This window comes from Homo sapiens, chromosome 19 (genome assembly GCF_000001405.40).
Source record: "Homo sapiens chromosome 19, GRCh38.p14 Primary Assembly".
NCBI lineage: Eukaryota > Metazoa > Chordata > Mammalia > Primates > Hominidae > Homo > Homo sapiens.
The window spans coordinates 51,838,980-51,861,630 of record NC_000019.10 but is presented as its reverse complement, the minus strand read 5'-3'; the positions used below and the strand labels follow the sequence as shown (position 1 = coordinate 51,861,630).

General features: G+C 40.2%; 1 protein-coding gene and 1 pseudogene across 8 annotated transcripts in view, besides 1 other annotated feature; both read left to right on the top strand.

Moving 5' to 3' along the window:
- ZNF577 (zinc finger protein 577) overlaps positions 1 to 22,651 on the top strand; it is an 83,510-nt gene that overhangs the window by 26,321 nt on the left and 34,538 nt on the right. For 4 of the 8 annotated variants that reach the window (NR_163433.1, XR_007067021.1, XR_007067020.1 and 1 more), the window contains exons 6-9: positions 653 to 727; positions 18,316 to 18,442; positions 18,718 to 18,810; positions 21,514 to 21,738. Coding sequence is in view for 4 of the 8 variants with exons in the window: in NM_001370452.1 (NP_001357381.1) it covers positions 653 to 705 (53 nt within the window). In the remaining 4 variants the exon portion in view is untranslated. Of the gene's footprint in view, positions 1 to 652; positions 728 to 5,663; positions 7,650 to 18,315; positions 18,443 to 18,717; positions 18,811 to 21,513; positions 21,739 to 22,651 lie in introns of those variants that run through there. The other 4 variants (NM_001370452.1, NM_001370455.1, NM_001370457.1 and 1 more) reach the window with 2 other exon arrangements.
- Positions 4,620 to 4,931, top strand: VN1R98P (vomeronasal 1 receptor 98 pseudogene; annotated as a pseudogene).
- Positions 13,110 to 14,309: an enhancer, noted in NCBI's record as "BRD4-independent group 4 enhancer chr19:52350575-52351774 (GRCh37/hg19 assembly coordinates)". NCBI's record gives its function as "activates an origin of replication core promoter dependent on BRD2, P300/CBP, MED14 and CDK7 cofactors, and independent of BRD4, by STARR-seq in HCT116 cells {active_cell/tissue: HCT116}" and the evidence as "EXISTENCE:reporter gene assay evidence [ECO:0000049][PMID:35650434]".

Genomic DNA, 22,651 nt, shown 5'->3' with positions numbered 1-22,651 from the left:
AGTGACTTGGAATATGAGAGAGCTTTTTTGATTAGTCACATCAGCTCAGACACAATAGAAGTTCCATGAATACTATGATTGTAATGGGCCCTTTTGGAACTCTTGTGGGAGAGAAACCTTATAGATGCAATGAATATTTTAAGCCTTCTTTTTTGAAGATATCCCTCGTTTACCGTAGAGATCTCACAAGAAGAATCATTGGCCAGGCGCATTGGCCCATGCCTGTTATCTCAGCACTTTGGGAGGCTGAAGCAGGCAGATCACTTGAGGTTGGGAGTTCGAGACCAGCCTGGCCAACATGATGAAACCCTGTCTCTACTAAAAATACAAAAAAAAAAAAAAACAAATAGCCAGGTGTGGTGTGCACACCTGTAATCCTAACTACTCAGGAGGCTGAGGCAGGAGAATCTCTTGAACCTAGGAGGTGGAGGTTGCAGTAAGCCGAGATTGCACCAGTGTACTCCAGCCTGGGTGACAGAGTGAGACTCTGTCTCAAAAAAAAAAAAAAAAAAAAAAAGAGAGAGTCAATTATGAGTGCAGTGATTGTCAAAAAAGTTTATTAGAAAACTAGAAGCTTTCCATTTAGTAGGCAGCACCAGTGGATGTAATGAAAATGATAAATCATTCTCAAATTATATTTGTTACACATTAGGGTATTCATTCAGGAGAAGGACCCTACAGATGGAGGGAATGCAGGAAAGCTAAGAAGAATCACACCTCATTGCAGGTAAAAATTAAAATCTGAAAGTCAAAACTCTTTGAATATCTTGTTTACGAGAGAAATCTCATAGATACAGTGAATGTGATTGTGATAAAGTCTTCCCAGTTAATGTTTATCTTTCTTGTTATAGCAAACTCATACAAGAGGAAACCCCTATTAATATAGTAAATGTGGTAAAGCCTTCATGTAGATACCAAAGGTCACTAATTATATCAGCAAACTCATGTGGTAGATAGGTCCTTCTGAAACGGAATGTGGAAAGCTTTTGAAAGTGACATATACATCAGATACTTAAATCAGAAGGGAAAACGATAGAGTTAAACTTGGCCATTGGCCACAAAACCCATTGCATAGCAGGAAAGAATTGCAGTGATTGTCTAAAATTCTTTATTTAAAATTCAGAGCTGAATTGCCCCCTAACTCAGTTATCAGAAAGATCCTATTCTCGAAGGCAATAATATTTAGGTTCAATGCAGGTATAAAATCCTAATGGAGCCATATCTATTCTGCTTCAGCAGAGTCATACATTTACCTAAAAGCAATGGTTCTGGTCACAGGAAATAATTTCTGTGGAGGATTAGATAGCATTAAACATCACAAGCTTTTAAATATAGGAGCAGAATTTGCTCCATACAGAGATTTTATGAATGCAGTGAAAGTGGTAAAAGCATCAGTGATAAGTTATTTTTTATTTCATGGATTCACTTCTTCACATCCTACCATGTCTTAAATTGTGAAGCATCTTATGATCTGGAATGTCATAGTAATTGTCAGGGCTTTTTAAATGTGTGATGGCACTTTAGATTTGAGTAATTACCCTTGCCTGTATATATAATTTTATAATGGTTTTGCATAATTATTATAGAAAGGATTCCAGAGAATATTCTATAAATATTAGACATTTCATTGTCAAATATTCCTTTTGAATATATGAAAAATAAGAATATAATAAGGATTAGTCGAATAGTGACAAAGGATCTTAGGGGTTGTGTTGTGGACTGTACTATGTGACATGTACTTTATATATTTATAAACTTCATTGTTTACTTGGAATTACACGAAGAAACAATTTTCAGGGTTAAAGAAATTCTCAACATAAGACAAAATGTTGAATAATTCAATGTAGTGCAAATAAAATGTTTTTTTCTTATGAATCAAAATGTCTTGTAATACATATTTGACTCATTATTAAGGAGTCTAAAGGATTATACCACGTAAGTGTGAATTCCTTATTTTTGCTGTCATTTGTAGTATTTTTGCCCACTGTGATGATCCATCACAAGTAGAAGTTTACATTTTTCTAGAGCCTTATAACTCTGAAACATCCAAAGATTATAAAAGATTTACCTAAAATATTTAAAAACCAGCAACACATTAGAGTAATGGAAGAAAAAAGTGTGAGGTTATATGAGGTGAGTTTATGGCTATATATTTCAAGTTTGTGTCACACCGAAACTTTTGATTTGTTATGATAATATGCCATTCCTTTGGTGGTTCCTCAAAAAGTTAAATCCAGACTTACCATATGACCCAGGAATTCCATTCCTAAGTAAAATACCCATGAGAATTGAAAACAGGTACTCAACCAAATATTTGTCCATGAATGTTTATAGCACTGTTCACAATAGCCAAAATAGCATTTGGTTGAAAAAACTCAAATGCCTATCAAAGGATGAATAAATAAAATGTGCTACATGCATGTACACATGAATACATAAATGGTCAGTTATACAAATGAATGAAGTACTGATGACATGTTGCATGAATGAGCCCCAAAAAACATACTGAGTGAAAGAAGCCAAATGCAAATTCCACATTTTATACTTTCATTTATATCAAATACTCTGAATAGGTAAATCTATAGAGAAATAAAGCAAATTAGTGGTTATTGGGCACTAGAGGGGAAGGGAGAATGCAATCTATCTGCGTAGTATGTATGGGGTTTTCTTTTAGAATGATGAAAATGTTTTTGAACTAGATAGAGATGGTGGTTGCATAATATTGTGAATGTGCTAAACTTCACTGAATTGTACACTCTAAAATTGTTAATATTTGAATTTTTACATGAAGAAAAATATATTTAAAAAGAAAAATATTGCATGAACTCTGGCACTTCAAATATGGACTTTTTTTTAACAAAATGAGACTTACTTGACTGAATCTTCTATAAAACTTCTAGTGGGTATTCTAGTTATTAAAAAGCAAGGTTTTTTTTTACCTCCATGTGAAATAACTGACTTATTTTGGTTATCAGTGAAACCTATTGTTTTGCAAGGAATTCTGTAAAAATGTACCAGCAAAATCTTGCTTATTTTTTTCTCTAGATTTTTGCCCCTTCCCCATTTTGTTTGACAGTTGTCAAGAAATCTTTTCTTCACCATTTTATTATGAAAATCTTCAGACATAAAGATGTTTAAGGAGTACTAAACACTAATCTGGATTTGACCATTGCAACATTTTTCTGTGTGTGTTTGTGTGTGTCATATGTTCTGACAACCTCCTATTCACCCTGGTGCATGAGGGAGGGACTCCCTACCCTAAGTAGTATGGAATGGCTGAACACAACACCTGACACTGGCTAGATGAAATTGACAGCAGTTTATTAGTCACAGATACAGCCTGAGAGAAATGGTCATTGCATATAGGTATTGCACTCAGGAATAGAGTGAACAAGCACGGAGATTGTGGGAAGTAGGCTTTATATAATGAGAGGGTAACGTGCCCATGGTTTCTGTGGAAGAATGCAATTGCTTTGTATAATTCCATGGGCTGAATATAGATTGAGGACCATGTTGGGTGCAGCTAGTTCAGCTGATTGGGGAGTTAGCTGGGTGGGAGCCTTTCCTGTGCAGTGGGAGCATATCTGGTGAGAGTAAGGGAATTCAAAGATAGGCCTTCAGGGCCCTGTAAAGCTCAAAGACTAAAAGCAGGCCAGACACAATGGCCCGCACCTGTAATCCCAGCACTTTGGGATTACAGGTGGATCCTTTGGAGGATCCCTTGAGCCCAGGAGTTTGAGACCAGCCTGGGCAACGTAACGAGACTCCATCTCTACAAAAAATTTTAAAATAATAATCTTAGATTTGAAAGCAGCACATGAGATAATAGGTTCTTAGAGTTTTGTGTGTGTGCGTGTGTGTGTGTGTATGTGTACAGATATATATGTATCTGTATATTTCTGGTGAGCAGCCTGAAAGCTACAGTCACTTGCCACTTGAGCAGTTCTCAGGCAATCACCCACCCGAAGGCTGGTGGGTGGATGAGGTTCAAAGACAGAGCTTTGAAGAACATCGGTTTCTCCTGCTTTCTGTATTGGTTCTTCAACCTACAATAAAAATCTTTGTTCTTAAACATGTAGAGGCCCTTCGGCATATCCCCAATTCTACCAAGATATGAAATTGTGGTCTATGCTCTTCTAAAAATCCTGAAACATCTACTGCAAAATACACATTTCTTCTCCTTCCTTTCTTTGTTTTTTCTTTTCTTTCTTTCTTTCTTTCTTTCTTTCTTTCTTTCTTTCTTTCTTTCTTTCTTTCTTTCTTTCCTTCCTTCTTTCTTTCTCTCTTTCTTTCTCTCCTTTCTCCTTTTCTTTTCCTTCCTTTCTTTTCTTTTTTGATGGAGTCTCGCTTTGTCGCCAGGCTGAAATGCGGTGGCACGATATCGGTTCACTGCAGCCTCCGCCTCCCGGGTTCAAGCGATTCTCCTGCCTCAGCCTCCTGAACAGCTGGGACTACAGGCGTGCGCCATCACACCCAGATAATTTTTGTATTTTTAGTAGAGATGGGGTTTCACCATGTTGGCCAGGATAGTCTCGATCTCTTGACCTCATGTTCCGCCTGCCTCGGCCTCCCAAAGTGCTGAGATTACACAAAATACACATTTCTCTTGACTTTCCCAGATGTTGTCTTCATGGACTCATGGTTGGAGCTGGTGTCTACATGGTAGAGTGAGGCGCATTCACACCCTCAGCAGCTCCTACAGATTCTCCCCTGAGGCAAAAGCCATTCAAATCATGCTGCTTCTAGGAAGTACTTTCATTTCGTTTTACTTTATCAGTTCTATCCTGCTCATTCATAATGCTGTTCTTTTCCAATCAAGCCTCTGGCTGCAATATACTACCACCTTTCATGCAGTATATTATCCCTCCCTCAGCCCCCCGATCTTGATGTTCAAGGTCCCCGAGCACCAAGTTTCTCGTCTTAAATGGTGAAAAAAAATCCAAAATTACTGATGGTCCTGTTCACAACAGTGTCTCTTCTTCAGAGAATCTGGTTATTCACTTAAGAAAGCAAGGGTATGTGGATGTCTAGAATATGACAGACATACACCCAAAATACGGATAATTAAAGGATTTGTATGACATTGACTTAGCGATGTAGAGGCTTTACTCTTTACTCAGAAGGCAGGCATACAACCAAATAAACACAAAACTGTCTGTTAGCATTATCCTGATGTTCTCTGTATTTTTTCTTTGAGATACTTGATGGAAGCATGGAGGTGAGGTTGGGTAGAAATAATCTGGGGACATATTCGAATTTTTAACAGTTCATTAGCACAATTATTAAATTGGTGCAGTATTATATATTGATAAACAGTAATGGCTTTGTGTATCAACTGTATAACCCATGGTAAACCATTTAATCATTAGAAGACTTAGGGTATTTACTTGTAAAGTTAATAAATTTTTATCCCAGAGATTACTGTGCAAAAAATAAATTATGTGATAAGGCATGATGTCCAGAATAGCAGAGACAAGGCCTCTGCGTATCCATCCTTTCATTAAAACAACATAAACATCATCACAGTCAATTTTGGAAAATAACCAAAGGCTTACAATATTTTGAACAGCATTTTCTTTTCAAGAAAAAAATTTTGAACCTCATTAAAAATAGTGGGGTATGTGGAATTTTAATTTGGCCTACTTCTATATCCCTTTCCCCAGATCTGCATTACCGTTGGAAAACAGCAGCCTCAGAACCACAGTAGCCATGAAGACCATCAGCCTTCAACCACCACCCTTGTATCAGAGGAGACAAATAAGCTTGGAAATCCTCAAAAAGCCTCATCCTCAGAGCAATGTCATTATATATCTTGTCTTACAGCTCCATGATGTGGTTCCATTCTTTGTCCTAACTCATTCTCTCACCTGACTCAAAGCTCACTTTGAAGGAAAAGTGCGATACTAGGGCACTGGTCAAAAACGATCAGCTTCAATTGTTTAACTTTGTAGTAGCCTAAGCCTGCAGTACCGTTAGGGAGCAAACAAGAGCTCTGAAAAATTGTTAAACGGACATCTGAAGAACAAGATGTTAATAGGGAACTCTTAAATACTCTGACATATTCCTGAGGATCTAGAAGGCCCAACACATACACAGGGATGTGTGCATGCCCATGAGATACCTGAGGGTACCAGTAGTTCACTTCTAGCTGATCTTGAAGCCCTTGAGAAGAAGGAAGAGAAGGCTAAAGTAGACTTACAAACTGCTTGAGCATTGAAGTAGACACACACACACACACACACACACACACACACACACACACAGCACCCTCAGCAAAGAGTGGAAAACTTGCTCAGAGAAATGAAGGAAATCTTGATTAATCATTAGCTAACTAAGAAAAGACTTCAAGTGACTGCACACTGCAGGGAATACATAAATTACTCCAGGAATGCCACTGAACAAACTGCAACAACAATCGCAACAATAAACCCTGGGGAGAGAGGGAATCTGATTTCCAAAGTAACAACTTTATATGATCTAAAATTTCTATATTCAACAAAAATTTGTGACACACAATCAGAAAAGTATAGTCCATATTCAGGAAATGAGGTTGTCAACTGAAACTACCCCTGAGGAGGCTCATATGTCAGACTTAATATGCAAAGATTAAAAGTCAGCTATGTTAACTATGTTCAAGGAACTGAAGTAAACCATGTATAAAGAACTATGAAGTAGCAACAAAGAGAACAGGTCTCAGCAGCAGATTTGAGGTGGCAGAAGACAGAATAAGCAAATATGAAGCTAGGTCAATGGAAATTATCCAGTCTGAGGAACATGAAGAAGTGAAACAGAAAAAAAGTGAAAAACATAAAGTGAACAGACTCTTAGAAACATATGGTATACTTTCCAGCACACCAACACATATGTAATGAAAGTCTCAGAAAGTAAATAGAGGGGATAAGCAACAGATAGAATATTTGAAGAAATAATGGCCAAAGCTTCCCAAATTTGATGAAAATTATTCCGTCCATCTGAGAAGGTCAATAAATTCCAAATAGGCTGGGCACAGTGGCTCTCACTTGTAAACCCAGTACTTTGGGAAGCTGAGATTGGAGGATTGCTTGAGTCCAGGAGTTCAGGAGAAGCATGGGCAACATAGCGAGACCCCATCTCTAAAAAAAAAAAAAAAAAAAATTTAGCTGGGCATGGTGGTGCATTCCTGTAGTCCCAGCTACTCAGGAGGCAGAGGCAGGAGGATTGCCTGAGCTCAGGAGGTCAAGGCTGCAGTGAGCCATGATCGTGGCACTGCACCCCATCTGCAGTGACAAGAGTGAGATCCTGTCTCAAAAAAAAAAAATCCAAATAGCATCAATTCATTACCTTCTCCACAGGCTTTCATCCTGGTAAACTAAACAGAAACCTGGTCCTTCCCAGATGGGTGCAGAATGGTTATTATCAGATGAGCACTGAGGATATTTATGCCAATGATATATGATAGACAGAACCTCTACTTTATTCGTGGATTTTCTGCTACACAGAAAACAAGCAACCAAAGAATCAATTACATACAATCCAGAATCAGTCACTGGTAGTTTTTCTCAAGGTTTTTATTATAAAAATTTTCAGACATATAGAAAAACTTAAAGAATAGTATAGCAGAGACCCTTACATACATCACATAGATTCAATAAATGTTAATTTTTGCCATATTTGCTTTATCTTCTACCTATAATCTATCTCGCTCTTCTATCCAGTTTGCTTCTTTCGACTGAACTATTTGAAGGTAAATAGCAGACATCATAACCCTTCACTCCCAAATACCTCAACTTGGAGCTTATAATAATGTATTGTCCTACAAAGCACAACACCTTCACGATGTCAATCCTTTAGGGGTGTGGTATTTAAGAAAGAAGGGGGCTTACACACTGAAGACTAGCAAGCTGAAAAAGAGAAACTTATTTTCAATGAAAGTTTCAAGGAAGCCAAGAAGCTCACAAATCTGGGGATACTATAGAAGGTAGCAACAGAGCCTTCATTATCTTTAAAGATCATATGGCCAGGTTCAGAACCAGGCTCTACTACATAGACTCCCGTACAGTTACCTGTTCTTGAAGCTGAACAGCCGTTATCCTCTAGATTGGTCCAATTGACCAAAATCCTCTAATGCATCTGTAAAAAGACCAATACAACGCAGTTCACCCAAGATCCAGCAGGTAAAAGAGAAAGAGAAAAAATGTTAAATCTTAGGGTAGTGCCCTTTTTGCATGAGATTACTGGCTCCTGGCTCACTTTTTACTTGAGGCTGGCCAAAACTTGTTGTCCCTATTGGGAAGTTTGAGATAGTGGGTTCTAAGAAGTATCTGTAATTGCTGAGCTGACCACTGAAGACCCAGTGGTGTTGAGTTAGAGAAAGGGAGTAAGGAGTAGGAAGTAAGAAAACTGTCTTTGGGGTCAGGGCCCATCACCTGGCTCATGCCTGTAATCCCAGCACTTTGGGAAGCCAAAACAGGCAGATCATTTGAGCTCAGGAGTTCGAGACCAGTCTGGGCAACATGGTGAAACCTTGTCTTTACAGAAAATACAAAAATTAGCTGGGTGGGGCGGCCTGTGCCTGTCATCCCTGCTACTCTGGAGGCTGAGGCGGGAGAATTGCTTGAGCCCGAAGGCAGAGGCGGAGGTTGCAGTGAGCCAAGATTGTGCCACTGCACTCCAGCCTGGGCAATGGGAGTGAAACCCTGTCTCAAAGAAAAAAAAAAAGAAAAGAAAACTGTCTTTTAAAGAGCCATTCACCCTACCTGACAGCTAGCCATGTAAAGACAGGGCATATACAATTATTAAAACATTCATATCATTACAAAAGTATATTAAACACAATTACACACACATGACATTTTAACATGTGATGGGAACACCTATATGTGGACAACTGTGTAATACCACTCAGATCAAGCAATGGAGCATTCCAGAAGTCCTATTTATCCATTCCTCATAAACATCCCACCTATCACCTTCTATGGGCAAGATCTCTACACAGAGAAAGCCAGGAGCACTTTCCCTCAGCCAGTTTCACTTCTCTAGCTTACCTCTGTTAGAGGTAGACCTAGAATCTGCCCTGTCTGTTCCCTTCTTCCTCGGTGAGGGAATGTATTCTTTGCTCTATAAACCTCAAAATTCCTCCAAAATGGACAAGATTTCAACAGGGCAAAAAGACATCTTCAGTTTAGGTTTGACCTGGTGATTGGTTTTCGCTGTCTGGAGGTTCATGACAGATAGGTGGGATCACGGAAATGCTATTGAGCATGAGCCACACTCCTTGCAACTTTTGGACAGGTGTAAATGCTCGTGCTGACGTGTCTTGGAAAAGGACAGAAAAGGTGGGTTGCAATTGTTTCTTTCCTCTCAGAGGCAGCCCATTAGCCCAAAAGAATGGCCAGCACGCTGTCTGGTGGCACTTCTTTCAAGATGGCTACCTCCTGCAGACTTGATTGAAATGAGCTTTCCAAAGAGCAGGAAGCTAAAGGCTTTAGACATCAGAATCTGGGACTCCTGGTCGTTCCAGTTTCTACTGAGTCTGCGCAATAGCCCTAGAGGCAGGACAGCCAGGCCAGTGGGTGGAAGCGGATGTGCAGTGTAGGAAGCCTTATACTTTCATGGCAGCAGGTCACTGTAGAAGTTAAGGCAAAGTTTCAGTTTCTGTGAACTGCTGGAATGCGCCACTGTAGGGATTCGTGACTTGGGGATGTGGCAGGTGATGCGTGAGGGTATTCATTGGGGTTGGTTAAAGGCAGCTTCTAAAGTGTCTGGGGCGAATGTCCTAAAGACATCATTGTGTTTACAAGAATACCTTGTGGGTGGAAAAGGAATGACAGACGTAAGGGTTGTTTCCTGGGGCAGTGACAGGGCGGCTCCAGATCTTGGCATTGGGAGACCCACTAGCTTTCAGGGAATGGTCTTTGAGAGCATAGGCTGCTGGCTTGGTCATCTGGGGCTTCTGTCTGTATTTTGGGTTTGAGGAGTTGAAGAGTCTGTGTTAGGGTCTGTGTGAAATAAGGTGTCTGGGGAGTTGTGAACAGGAGCAAATGTGAGGTGTGGGGATATGGGGGCATTATGGGTGTCAGTGCTAGGAGATGGCTGATGAGCTTAGTAGTTAGGACTCAGGAGAGAAGTTTGGGTGCAATATGAATTTTCAACGTATGGGAAAGTTGAAAGAATAGTAACCCACCACTTACATATTCAACAATTATTTACACTGTTTTATAAATACTTAATGTATATTTGTATGTGTGTATCTGTACTTTTTTTCCTACTGAGCTATTTGAAAGTAAGATTAATTTTTAATCTATTTCTGCTACTCATTGGCTGTGTGAACTTTGGCAAGGTACACAGACTCTTACAAGTTTCAGCTTTTCCATTAGGAAAAGAAAAATGATATCTACTTGTCAAGTTTGTTTTGAAGAAGTAATAAGATGGGGTATCTGAAATGCCTGGCAAAATGACTGGCTTATAATTGGTATTTGACCAATGGTAGCTATTTTTCAAATATTTATCCTCATTTCTGATACCTTATAAAGATTGTAATTATGCCATTTCTGATTTAACTTTCTTCTAAATGTATATCCTAAATCTTATATGAATTTGAGTATAGATTTGAGAACTTTCCATAATTTTAAATGGTGATCTCTTATTTTTATCACAAAATTATATGCTTATCCTAAACAAAAGTAAAAATCACCTTCAACTTACTAACTACACCGTACTATACACAATGTTTTGTATCTTTAAATTTTTTATTTGTTTACTAGTTTACATATGGTAATGCTCACTGATTTGGTCTACAGTTCTATGACTTTTGACAAATAGAATCATGTTACCACCATGATTATGGTGCAAAACAGTTTTGTAATTTGGGAGTCCCCAAGACCATCTTCACTTCTGACACCAGCTGCAAGTTCAGTGTTCCCCAATATCACTTTTTATAATAATACCAACTGTAAATTTGGGGATACCCATGATTACTCTCATTTCTGACACCAACTTCAAAGTTTAAACACTACCCTCAGGTTTAATAATTTACTCACAAGACTCAGAAAAGGCATTATACCCACAGGTACAGTATATTACAGCAGGAGGCTACAGAACAAAGTCAGTAGAGGGATGAACTGCATAGGGTAGGGTCCAGTGGACACCAAGCACAGAGCTCCCAGTTGTCTTCTTTCAGAGAAATCATGCAGGCAGCACCTATTTCTTTCAGAAACAATTTGCGACAATATGCAGAATAATGCCAATAAGGGAAGTTTGCCCAAACCTTGGTGTCCAGATATTTTACTTGGGTTCAATCACATAGACGTGATTGACTATCCACATGGGTGACCATAGTCTGCACAGGTGGAGTTCATACCGCATGGCCTAAGGGCCCCCATCATAAAACATATTGTTAGCATATCTGGCATGGCCCAAGGCAACCAGGTAAACAAAGATACTCTTCCCAAGCAGGAAATTTCAGAGGCTTAGAGGTCATCTCCCAGGAGTTGAGAGCAAGGGCCAAACCTCTCTTTGGAGAAGATTAGTGCTTTACTTCATAAGTTCCACCACCGCCCAAAAATCCCTCCTTCTGTCCATTTTAGTCAACCCTTCTCTCCCCATCCCCAGAACAGAGAACAAATCAGTTCTCTGTCTAATTTTGTCTTTTCCATAGTGTTATTAAAAGAATGATACAGCACATAACATTTTGAGTCTACCTTTTTACACTTAGCATAATAAAATGGAACTTCATTCATGTTGCTGTATATGTCAGTAGTTTGTTCTTTTGTTGACGAATAGTATTCCATTGTATAAGTAAACTGGAATAGGTTTATCTGCACCAGTTGATAGGCATCTGGGTTTTTCACTATTTTGAATAACTTCTCATTTCTTTTGGGTAAATGCTTAATAGTTAGATTGCTTGTTTAACATAAAAAGTGGCCAAACTTTTTCGAAGAAGTGGTACCATTTTTGAATGTTACTAACAGTGTATGAGGGTTCCAGTATCGTTTCCTTAACAGCGTTGTCTTTATTTGTACTGCTATAACAAAATGCTTGAGACTGGATAATTTATGAAGAACAGAAATGTAGTTGCTCACAGTTCTGTAGTGGGCAGGGAGTCTAAGATCAAGGTGCTGACATCTGGTGAAGATTTCTTGCTGTGTCCTCACATGGCAAAAGGCAGAAGGGGGTGAACCTACTCCTGTAAGTCCTTTTACAAGTGGTATGAAAGTAGAATTCTCATGAACGAAACGCCTTCCATTAAGCCTCACTTCCCAACACCATTGCACTGGGAATTAAGGTCTCAACACATGAATTTTAGGGGACACATTCAGAACATAGCAAATGTATTCTGAAGAGCAAATCTTCATCCTGCAGACAGGTTAACCCAAACACAAAGAACATAGAAAAAGGAAGTGTTATAAACCATCCATGCACAACCTGTTTTGTATGCGCAACCTATTTTGTTAAACTTACCCTTTCTCCATTGGAGAAGAGTAGGTAATGACACAGAAAGACCTGTGTATAGTTTCCTTCCCCAAACTGTGGAAATAGTTCAAGTTTTTATATAATAAAAGAGACAGAAAATGTGCACATATTTTAAAAGGGGGTAACAGCTTGGCAATTGTGTTGAATGTGTCAGTGCAGAAAACAGATTCATACAATGGAATATTAAAACAAAAAAATGGTTTAGAACTACATACATCAAAAAGATGATTTTTTTCCAGCTCATTATCTAAAGGCAATATAATCTTGACACCAAAACTAGACAGAGGCATTATTAAAATAAAAGATAATTACAGACCAAATATCCCATGAACTTAGATGTACAACTCCTTACAAAATATTAGCAAATTGGGGAAGAGATCAACTTTAAATAATGTTGTTGGGATAATTATCTAGCCAGGGAAAAAAGGAAGTTGACTCCTGCATCACAGTATTGACAAATGTCTGGGTGGGTTGTGCTCTTCAAGATACACAGGATCCCTGTGAGCTACAAATGCTTTTCTTGTGGCCTGGATTGTGGTTGCCCGTGTCTGCTCCACAGGCATCTTTACATTAGTTCTTAAGCCCTCACCATCTCTCCCCACAAACCACACATCCAGAGAGCTCTTCCCATACCACCTCTGTTCGTCCAGATCCAGTTCTAGGTCTCCTAATCTCCATCTTTCTCAGTCGTATGGAGAAAGATTCCATATCTTGGGTATTGTGAATAATGCTTCAGTAAATGTGGGAGTACAGATACCTCTTCCACATAGTGATTTCATTTCCTTTGGGTATATTCCCAGCGTCTTCCGCGTCTTAGCTGTACAAGCTTCCTAATTCTCCCTCCCTTCTTTCCCCTAGGGACCCAGGCTTTTCAATACGGCCTCACCTTTCGTGTGGTTTAGAAGAACGAGGCAGCGTGGGCGCAGCCATTTTCTGTTTCGGTGTGTTCTGATTGGTCAGGTCGGAAGACTAGTTGAAAGTGCCGAAATCCTACTAAGCATGCCCTACGCTGACAGGAAAGAAGGTGGAAGTACAGGATGAGAGGTCTTTAGAAGATTAGAAAGGATCAGTTAGATTTACTCCTTTTCGGCCTGGTCAGCGGAATCCGGTCGCCTAGAATGGCTGTCTCGCAGTCTGTACTGCGTCTTCCAAGATGGTGGCTTCCAACAGCATGTCAGGGCTTGGGCGCGACCATATTGCTGAGCGATCATTCCTGGTGGGACCGGGATCCGCGTCTGTAGATGGATCCTGGCCTTCCAAAGTGCTACTGAGTTTGTATAATAGCTGGAAAGCCTGGCCATCCAGCCCAGTGAGCAGAAGAGGAAATGACGTATGGAAGCTTTGCCTTCCAGGGAGTAAATTCACGGGACTCCTGTGTGAGATTACATTTGACTCTGCCTAAAGCCCTTAGGAATCCCGCAGCGCTGTGGGAATTCCGTGACTTGGGATTGGTTTCTGATGAGTACCATCTGGGGTTGCCGTTTAAGGCCGCTTCGGGGTTGTTGAGGGCTTTTAGGGCCGGCATCAGTGTTTAGAGCTGTGGATTGAGGAAGAAACTAGAGACCATTCTCTCGTTTCTCGTGAAATATCCTCTCCTCATCGTGCTCCCTGCCACAGAGAGAGAGGCCTGGGAGAGCCACCGATGGAGGGGGCCGTCAGGATGTGGTCGGCGAGGACAGGGATTGGCGGTTAGTGATCTGAGGTTTCAGGGGTCCAAGTTTGAGTATTTGGAGGGTCCGTTTTATGCTCCACTTGAAAGTAGGTGTCTGGGGAGGTGTGAGTGAGGCAACAGCAAGATGCTTGGGTGGAGAGCAACACGGACATCGACGGGAGAGGCTGGTGGGGCTGGAACATAAGGAGGCCTCAGCTGTACAGACATTTGGGTGCTGTATTTTACATTGAGGTATTATATTTCCCAATATCTTATGTCGAAGAATTTCAAGTATATAGAAAACTCGAAAGAATAGCAATATGATAACCTGTACAACCAAAATTCATGAGTTGTCAAAATCGTGTCATAAATGCTATGTGTGTGCATGTGTGTGCGTACACGAGTGTTTGTATACACTTGAAATTAGTACTAGCTTTTTATGTCAATTCTACCCTATTTTGTGTGACTTTGGGCAAGATACCCAACTTCTGTAAGTCTCAGTTTTTCCATTATGACAAATTGAAAATATCTACCTTGCAGATGGGTTTTGAGGATTGAGTGAGGTAGTGCATTTGAAGTCCCTGACAAAGTGCTGGCATGTAATGTATTAGTCAGCTTGGGCTGCCATAACAAAATACCATAGACTGAGTGGCTTAAACAAGAGAAACTTGTTTTCTTATAGTTCTGGAAGCTGGAAGTCCGTGATCACAGTGCCAGTGTGGGATGAGTTTTGGTGAGAGATCTTTTTCTGGTTTGCAGATGGCCATCTGTTTTCATATGGCAGTAGGGGGAGAATGCAAATTCTCTTCTTGTTTTTTTTTTGAGATGGAGTCTCGCTCTGTGGCCCAGGCTGGAGTGCAGTGGCGCGATCTCGGCTCACTGCAACCTCTGCCTCCCGGGTTCAAGTGATTCTCATTCCTTAGCCTCCCAAGTAGCAGTGATTACAGGCGTTTGCACCACACCTGGCTAATTTTCTGTATTTTTAGTAGAGACACGGTTTTGCTATATTGGCCAGGCTGGTCTCAAACTCCTGGCCTCAAGTGATCCACCGGCCTCGGCCTCCCAAAGAGTTGGCATTACAGGTATTAGCCATGGCACCCAGCCAATATCTCTTCTTTTAAGGTCACTAATTCCATATTGAAGGCCCACCCTCATGACCTCATCTAACCCTAGTTACCTTCCAGTGACTCATCTGCAAATACGTATTAATAGATACTTGACAAAAGGTAGCTATTATTATGCAAATGTATACCTTTTATTTCTTATAGAGACAAGAACTCACTGTGTTATACAGGCTGGTCTCAAATAAAAATTTATTTGTTTTTAGAAATAAAAAATTAGCTGGGCATGGTGGACTAATTAGCTGGACACACATGTAGTCCCAACTACTCAGGAGGCTGAGGTGGGAGGATTGCTTGAGCTTGGGAGGTTGGGGCTGCAGTCAGCCATGACAGTGCCACTGCACTCCAGCCTGGACAACAGAGCAAGACTCTGTCTCAAAAAAAAAAAAATAGAACCACCATATAATGCAGCAATCCTACTACTGGGCACATATCGAAAGGAAATGAAATCAGCACTTTGCAGATATAGCTGCACTCCCATGTTCATTGCAGTGTTATTCACAATAGCCAAGAGAGGTAATCAACCTAGGTGTCCAACAACAATGAATGAAGAAAACGTGGCATATATACACAATGGAATACTCTTGAGCCACAAAAAAGAAGGAAATCCTGTCACTTGGTGACAACATAGATGAACTTGGAATACATTATGTTAAGTGAAATAAGCCTCACAGAGAAAGACAAATATTGCATGATCTCACTTATGTGTGAAATCTAAAATTATTGAATTCATAGAAATGGAGAGTAGAATGGTGGTTACCAAGGCTGGGGGAGGGAGAGGGTTGTGGAAATGTTGGTGAAAGAATAAAAAATTTCAGTTAGATAAGACATGAACTTTTATGTTTAAGAGATCTATTGTACAACATGGTGACTGTAGTAAATAACAAGGTATTGTATTATTTCTTTTCTTTTTTTTTTTGAGGCAGAGTTTTGCTCTTGTTGCCCAGGTTGGAGTGCAATGGTGCAATCTTCGCTGACCATAACCTCCACCTCCCGGGTTCAAGCGATTCTCCTGCCTCAGCCTCCCGGGTAGCTGGGATTACAGGCATACACCACCACGGATAATTTGGTATTTTTAGTAGTGACCGGGTTTCTCCATGTTGATCAGGCTGGTCTCAAACTCCGACCTCAGGTGATCCGCCTGCCTCTGCCTCCCAAAGTGCTGGGATTACAGGTGTGAGCCACCGTGCCCGGCCAAGTATTGTACTCTTGAAAATTGCTTAAGAGAATAGATTTCAAGTGTTCACACCACAAAAATATGGCAAGTATGTGAAGTAATACATATGTTAATTAGTTTGATTTAGCCATTCCACAGTATATACTTATTTCAAAACAACGTATTGTACTGATAAATACATACAATTTTATTTGTTAGGTATAGGAAATGAATTAATTTTAAAAAGAAAAGTCTTTTTATTTACGCGGACTTGCTCTTTATTATTTCTACTTTAAAACACATTTTTGTTTGAATTCATAGATGCTGACTTCTTAGAATGAGGCAGCTCCTGTAAAGGAAAAAAGTATATCTCATGTCCAGAAATTCATCTTTGTTGAGGATACCCTTGATGAGACATTATCAGAATTGCAGGACAAACAGATACTAAAAGTACTGGCCATCTTCTGAAAGCTCTTGAACATGACAAAGTTCCAAGTGAGGTGTTTATTTACTTCCCAGTAGATTTTTAGAAGTTTATAACCATATATGTAATCAAAGAGAAAAATGAATATAAGTACACTCTGGCTGGCAGGGATGTGGTTAGACTAGGAGACAGAATAAATGATCAAGAGTAGCCAGTTAGGAAGGGAGATCTATCTCCATGTCGTAGGGTCCTGAAAGGTGCTAATAATTAGACAATTGCCATATAAGTAGCAGGATCTAGAATTAAGTTGCAAACATTTTTGTGGCAGTACTGACAACCATCACAAGAGAATTTTTAAAAGTTACAAGATTTACTTTGTCCAGAAGGAGAAAGCACATAAAATCGTTGATATCAGTAAATATTTCCTGGGCATCCAGTGTGAAGAAATGTCTCTGATGGATCTTCCTCTTCCTCTTCAGTTTTTGTGTGCCAGCATATGGACCCAGTGAACAGTAATCTTTAAGGAAATGTGGGAGATATAAAAGGCACAGCTAGGAAACTTAAAATCTCTTCTTTATAAAAAGAACATAATAGTGCTTAAACAAGGGTTATTGTGCAGATTATTATGTTAATATATGTAAAATTTGTAGAATGATACATAGCACATAGTAAGAAGTCTGTTTTTCTTTATGAGTATCATCATTTAATTTGTAGCACAATTTCCAAAATGCAATTCTGACCGTAACTTACTTATGTAAAAAAAAAAAAAAAAAAAAAAGTGTAGTGGCTATCGAGTATCTTAAGGAAATGTGTACCCTTTGCTCCAAGACATGTTCCTGCTTTTCAAATGGGCATTTCTTCTCTTCAGCTTCTCCTGTCTTAATGAACTATTTGCATTTCTTTGAACGCAGAATGGTATTTAATACAGATACATATGTTGCCCCCTTCCAAGGAAGCCCCCATTTCTTCCACTTCTTCCTTTAGAACGCACTACTAATCATGCTACCAGCTTGTCTACCTCTTCAGAACAATTATGGCCTTACCTAATTGTGCTCACATATTAGCTTGAGCATACTTCTGTCTTAGTCCTTGCTAATCCATAATACCATGCAATACATAGGCTTTCTGCATAGGACTGTATTTGCTACTCTGTGCAAGATCAGAAACACTTGAAGGAAGGACTAACCTTTATTGTTTTTATTGTAATATGTATAATGAATTACATTAAATGCTCCTAAGGTGGGTTACAGATGGTTTTTAGGTAGTTTAAAGGTTTAAAAGACACTTTACATCGGGCAAATGAATGAAAGAGTAAACAAGTGAATGAAGAATGCACAAAGAAAAGATAGTTTTTAATGTATTCCACTCACAAAGTGCAAACCAAAACTAGGCACAGGAAAATCTTCGTTTGTGAATCTTTGTGGTAAAGATAAAGAGAATAATGTCCTACGAGTCTTATAGACTGAATTTTATTATATTAACTCCAGAATTTAAAAGGATTATGTTATTATAGGGTTTATCATCATTCAATGATGTGGCTGTTGACTTCACCTGGGAGGAGTGGAATCTATTAGACCCTGTTCAGAAGAACCTCTACCAGGATGTGATGTTGGAAAATTACAACAACCTAGTGTCACTGGGTAAAGACAACTTTCCTAAATATCTCACTGTAAGCCGATTAATTGCCTTTTTTTCTATTGCCACAATTTGTGGGTACTCTGATATCCTCAATGATTTTGGACTTTGACTTTTAGAACTTTTTTTACTTTATAATCGTACAGTGACCATATGTAATTTCACTTTCCAAATGAAAGGTTTCTGTTCTGCTGAGATGTATACTGTGCATTTCCTGAAACAGAACTTTTTCTCACAAGCTCTAATGCTGCTCAGATTCTCTGTGATTACCTCTTGACAGGTTGTCAAGCTACCAAGCCAGAAGCAATATTCCAGTTGGGGAAAGAAGAACAAGGAATAGTAGAGAGAGAATTCCCAAGTTGGTGCAGTCCAGGTGAGTGAAACCAATGCGATGGGAGTTAGTGGAACCAAAGTACTAGTTGGCCATTGATGGGTTGGCACCCTTGTTATTTTAATACATTTTCTCATGGTCTGTGAACCTTTAAGGGTGACTTAGAGTATAAGTGAAAAGAGGTCTTCAATATGAACAATTTCTCCTCCTCTTACTATCTGTCATAGTCCACTTGTGCTGCTATAACAAAATACTTGAGACAGGGTAATTTATAAATAATTGAAATTTATTTCTCACAGTTCTGCAGGCTGGGAAGTCCAAGATCAGGGTACCAGTATCTGGTATCTGCTGAGGGCCTTTTTGCAGCATCCTCACATGGCAGATAATAGAACGGCAAGTAAGGATGAATGTTGGGTTCTCATATGGCAGGAGAGCAAAAAGTAGCAAACCCACTCCCACAAGGCCTTTTTATCATGGCATTAACTTGCTCATGAGGTGGAGCCCTCATGACCTAGACACCTCCCATTAGGCCCCACTTCCCTGTCACTGCTGCACTGAGGATTAACTTTCTAGCAGATGAGTTTTGGGGGACACATCAGACCATAGCACTATATTTCTATGTATGACTCATAGGAGATGTGCCTCTCTTTCTCCCTCTGGTTGAGATTCTTGCCTATTTGGCCCTTGCCTTTTTGCTTAGTCACTTTTCTTTTGCAGCCTATTAGATACAACCACCCTTCACCTCCTACCAATATTTATAGACCTCTTCTAGTATGCTTTCAAATATTCCTAGAATCTTTTCCAAGTTTGATGACACCTGTGTCCTTCAAGCCTATTATATATTTCTTTTATTGAATGTCTCAGACTTACACTGTGTATCTGCAGATCACTTTCTGAATTTTTCTTGTATATGAACTTGAGATTCCATCCCTCTCCATTTCATGATAATGGTAGAATTCATTGTTTTTTGTTTGTTATTCTCTAGAACTAATGTGGCAAGCTTATGATTGGCATCAGAAAGATTCAACTGATTCTCCTGCCTCAGCCTCCCAAGTAGGTGGGATTACAGGTGCCTGCCACCATGCCTGGCTAATTTTTGTATTTTTAGTACAGATGAGGTTTCACCATGTTGGCCAGCCTGGCCTCAAACTCCTGACCCCAGGTGATCCACCCGCCTTGGCCCCCCAAAGTGCTGAGATTACAGGCATGAGCCACCGCATCGGGCCTAATATTTTCTATCTATAGATTTTTTTTCTTGAGTTTTAGGTGTCCATGTCACTGCCAGTACTGTGGCAGTGCAGTTTCAACAGTAGAACTAGCAAGACCATGCTAGAAAAACTAGAAAAACGGAAAAAATAAAATAAAATAGAGATCCCCACAACACACTTTTTGGCTCATGTGGATTCATTTTCTCTGTTTTCTGGCCATGAAGGCTGGTTTTTCTTAGTGTCCTTGCTCTTCACCTCAGCAGCGAAATTTCTGTTAGGTTTTGAAGGGAAGGCAAGGGTTAAAGAAAGACATGGAGTGGTGGCTCTACAGCAAATGCAGGCTTTATGTCCAGCATAAGACCTGCAGAAGTGAGGAAACAGCCTAATGCCAGTGCCCACCGCTTATAGGCTGGGGCAATTTATAGGCCTGGGTGAGAGGGGCCTGGGGGGACATGTTCCCAGGATGAGGCGATTCCCGCGGAAAGTGGTGTTCCTTGCACTTTCTCCCAGCAGAATATGATAAGAGGCAGGATGTTTCTCACAGCCCGAACCCCCTGTGGAATGTTTCACTTTGATCAGGTTTTGTGAAATGGTGGGGGGCTTCCAAAATGGTGCAGTTTGGACTAACAATTTCCTAATTTGTCTTACCCTTAGGTCAAAGGCAGGAGATATAGACAGAAAAAAAATGAGGGAACTTACTCTGTGCATTGCTTGGTTTTCAACTCTATACTTTATTCTCCAATCTCTTTGCAATTATTCATTTTAAAAGTTCTCAAGTAGTTTTTATTAGTTTTTTTTCAAAAGTTTTAACTCTAACCAGTGGGAGTGATAAACTAGGGGGCTTACTTAATCATGGCTGGCACCATACATTACATGTATTTATTTTTAAGGGATAAAACATCCTTGTATTCCTGGGAACCTGATCTTGAAGTTCATTCTTTTCATATAATGCTAGATTTGATTGCTAATAATTTCTTCATGACTTTTACATCTATTTCACATGACTGTTCAGAATACACATGATCTTTCTGAAGTACAACTAATATTCTCTTGGAATGGGTTGTGGTTGTCAGTGTCTGCTCCACAACCAGTTTGGCCCAGTTCTTACCCCTCAAGGTCTCTCTCCACAATCCCACACCCAAATGTACCCAGGTGGCTTCCCCCTTACTACCTGAGCTCCTCCAGACCCAATTCTGGTTTCCTAAGACTTCTCTCGACAAACACATTCCCAGAATCCACCCTCTGCCTGCTCCCACTTCCTTGCTCCACTGCCTAGTCTTTGATCAACAGATCCCAAAACTTTTTCAAATATGGCTGCGCCTTACCTGCTGCTTTAAGGGCCTATGGGGCTAAATAGGTGCAGCCATCTTCTGCTTAGGTCTTGTCTGTGATTGGCTTAGGGCTGTTGCTAGATTTGAAGTAGACAGGTGAGAACGCTGAATGTTGTTCCTGAGAATGCACAACGCTGCTGGTAGCAGCTGGGGAAGTGGTGAAAAGGACAGTAGAAGATCAGCTGCATTGCCTCTTTCCTTTCTAGCACGATGGAATTTAGTCGCCAGAAAATGGCCATCTCGCTATCTGTAAGAAGCATCTTCCAAGACTGCTGCTTCCATGTGCACGCCTGGTTTCAAAGTCTGTAGACATCTTGTGTTCCGCGAAGGTGCTACTGAGTCTGCACAAGAGCGTGACTACGGCAGTGAGTGAAGAGGTTACGGAAACCTGCTAGTCCTCAAGCGAATGTTTGTGCGACTCCAGCTGTAGGGTGAGTTTCCCAGCGCTGTTGGGGTCCTTGACCGGATGCGACCAGCATGGGGTACTTGTGGAGGTTTGCGGTGTAAGAAGGCTTCAGGGAATGGTCAGTGGAATCTGAAGCTGGGGGTTAGCCACTGAGGGCTTCTGTGGTCTGGATTGGAGCATCCTCAGCGTCGAGTGGAAGTCGGTGTCTGGGGAACCAGGAAAAGCGAGCAAGCGATGCGGAGTTGGGGGCCATTATGGCTATCGGTGATGGGAAGGGCTGGGGAAGGAGGTACTTCATTGCTTCAGATGCCAGGGATTTGGGTGCTGTACTAAGTACCCAACCATATTTCCCAACATTTCATACTGAAACCTTTCAAGTACACTGAAGGAATAGCAACATGGTGGTCACCTGTGTACCCATCACCTAGATTCAGCAATTATTAAAATTGTGTCATAAATACTTGGTATATGTGTATGGGTATGTGTGTGTAATTTCTTCTTATTATTATTATGTTTAATCATTAGAGAAAGAGTCTTGCTCTGTCACCCAGGCTGGAGTGCAGAGGGGTGATCATAGCTTACTGCAGCCTCAACCTCCTGGGCTCAAGTGATCCTCCTGTCTCGGCCTGCTGAGTAACTAGGACTAAAGGCATGCTCAACCACGCCTGGCTAACATAATTTATTTCTTGATGAATCCTTTGAAATAACATTTTAGTCCTGATTCTTTATGCCGATTTTGCTATTTACTGTCTGCATGACTTTGGGCAAGGTATTGAAATGCTGTAAGTTTTACTGTTAGGAAAAAATGATGGTATCTCCTTTGCAAATTTCTTTTGAAGATTATTGGAATGGTGTGCCTGAAATGCTAGCAAAGTGCCTGGTTTATAGTAGATAATTGAGAAATGTTCTTTTATTATTATTCAAATATATACCTTTCT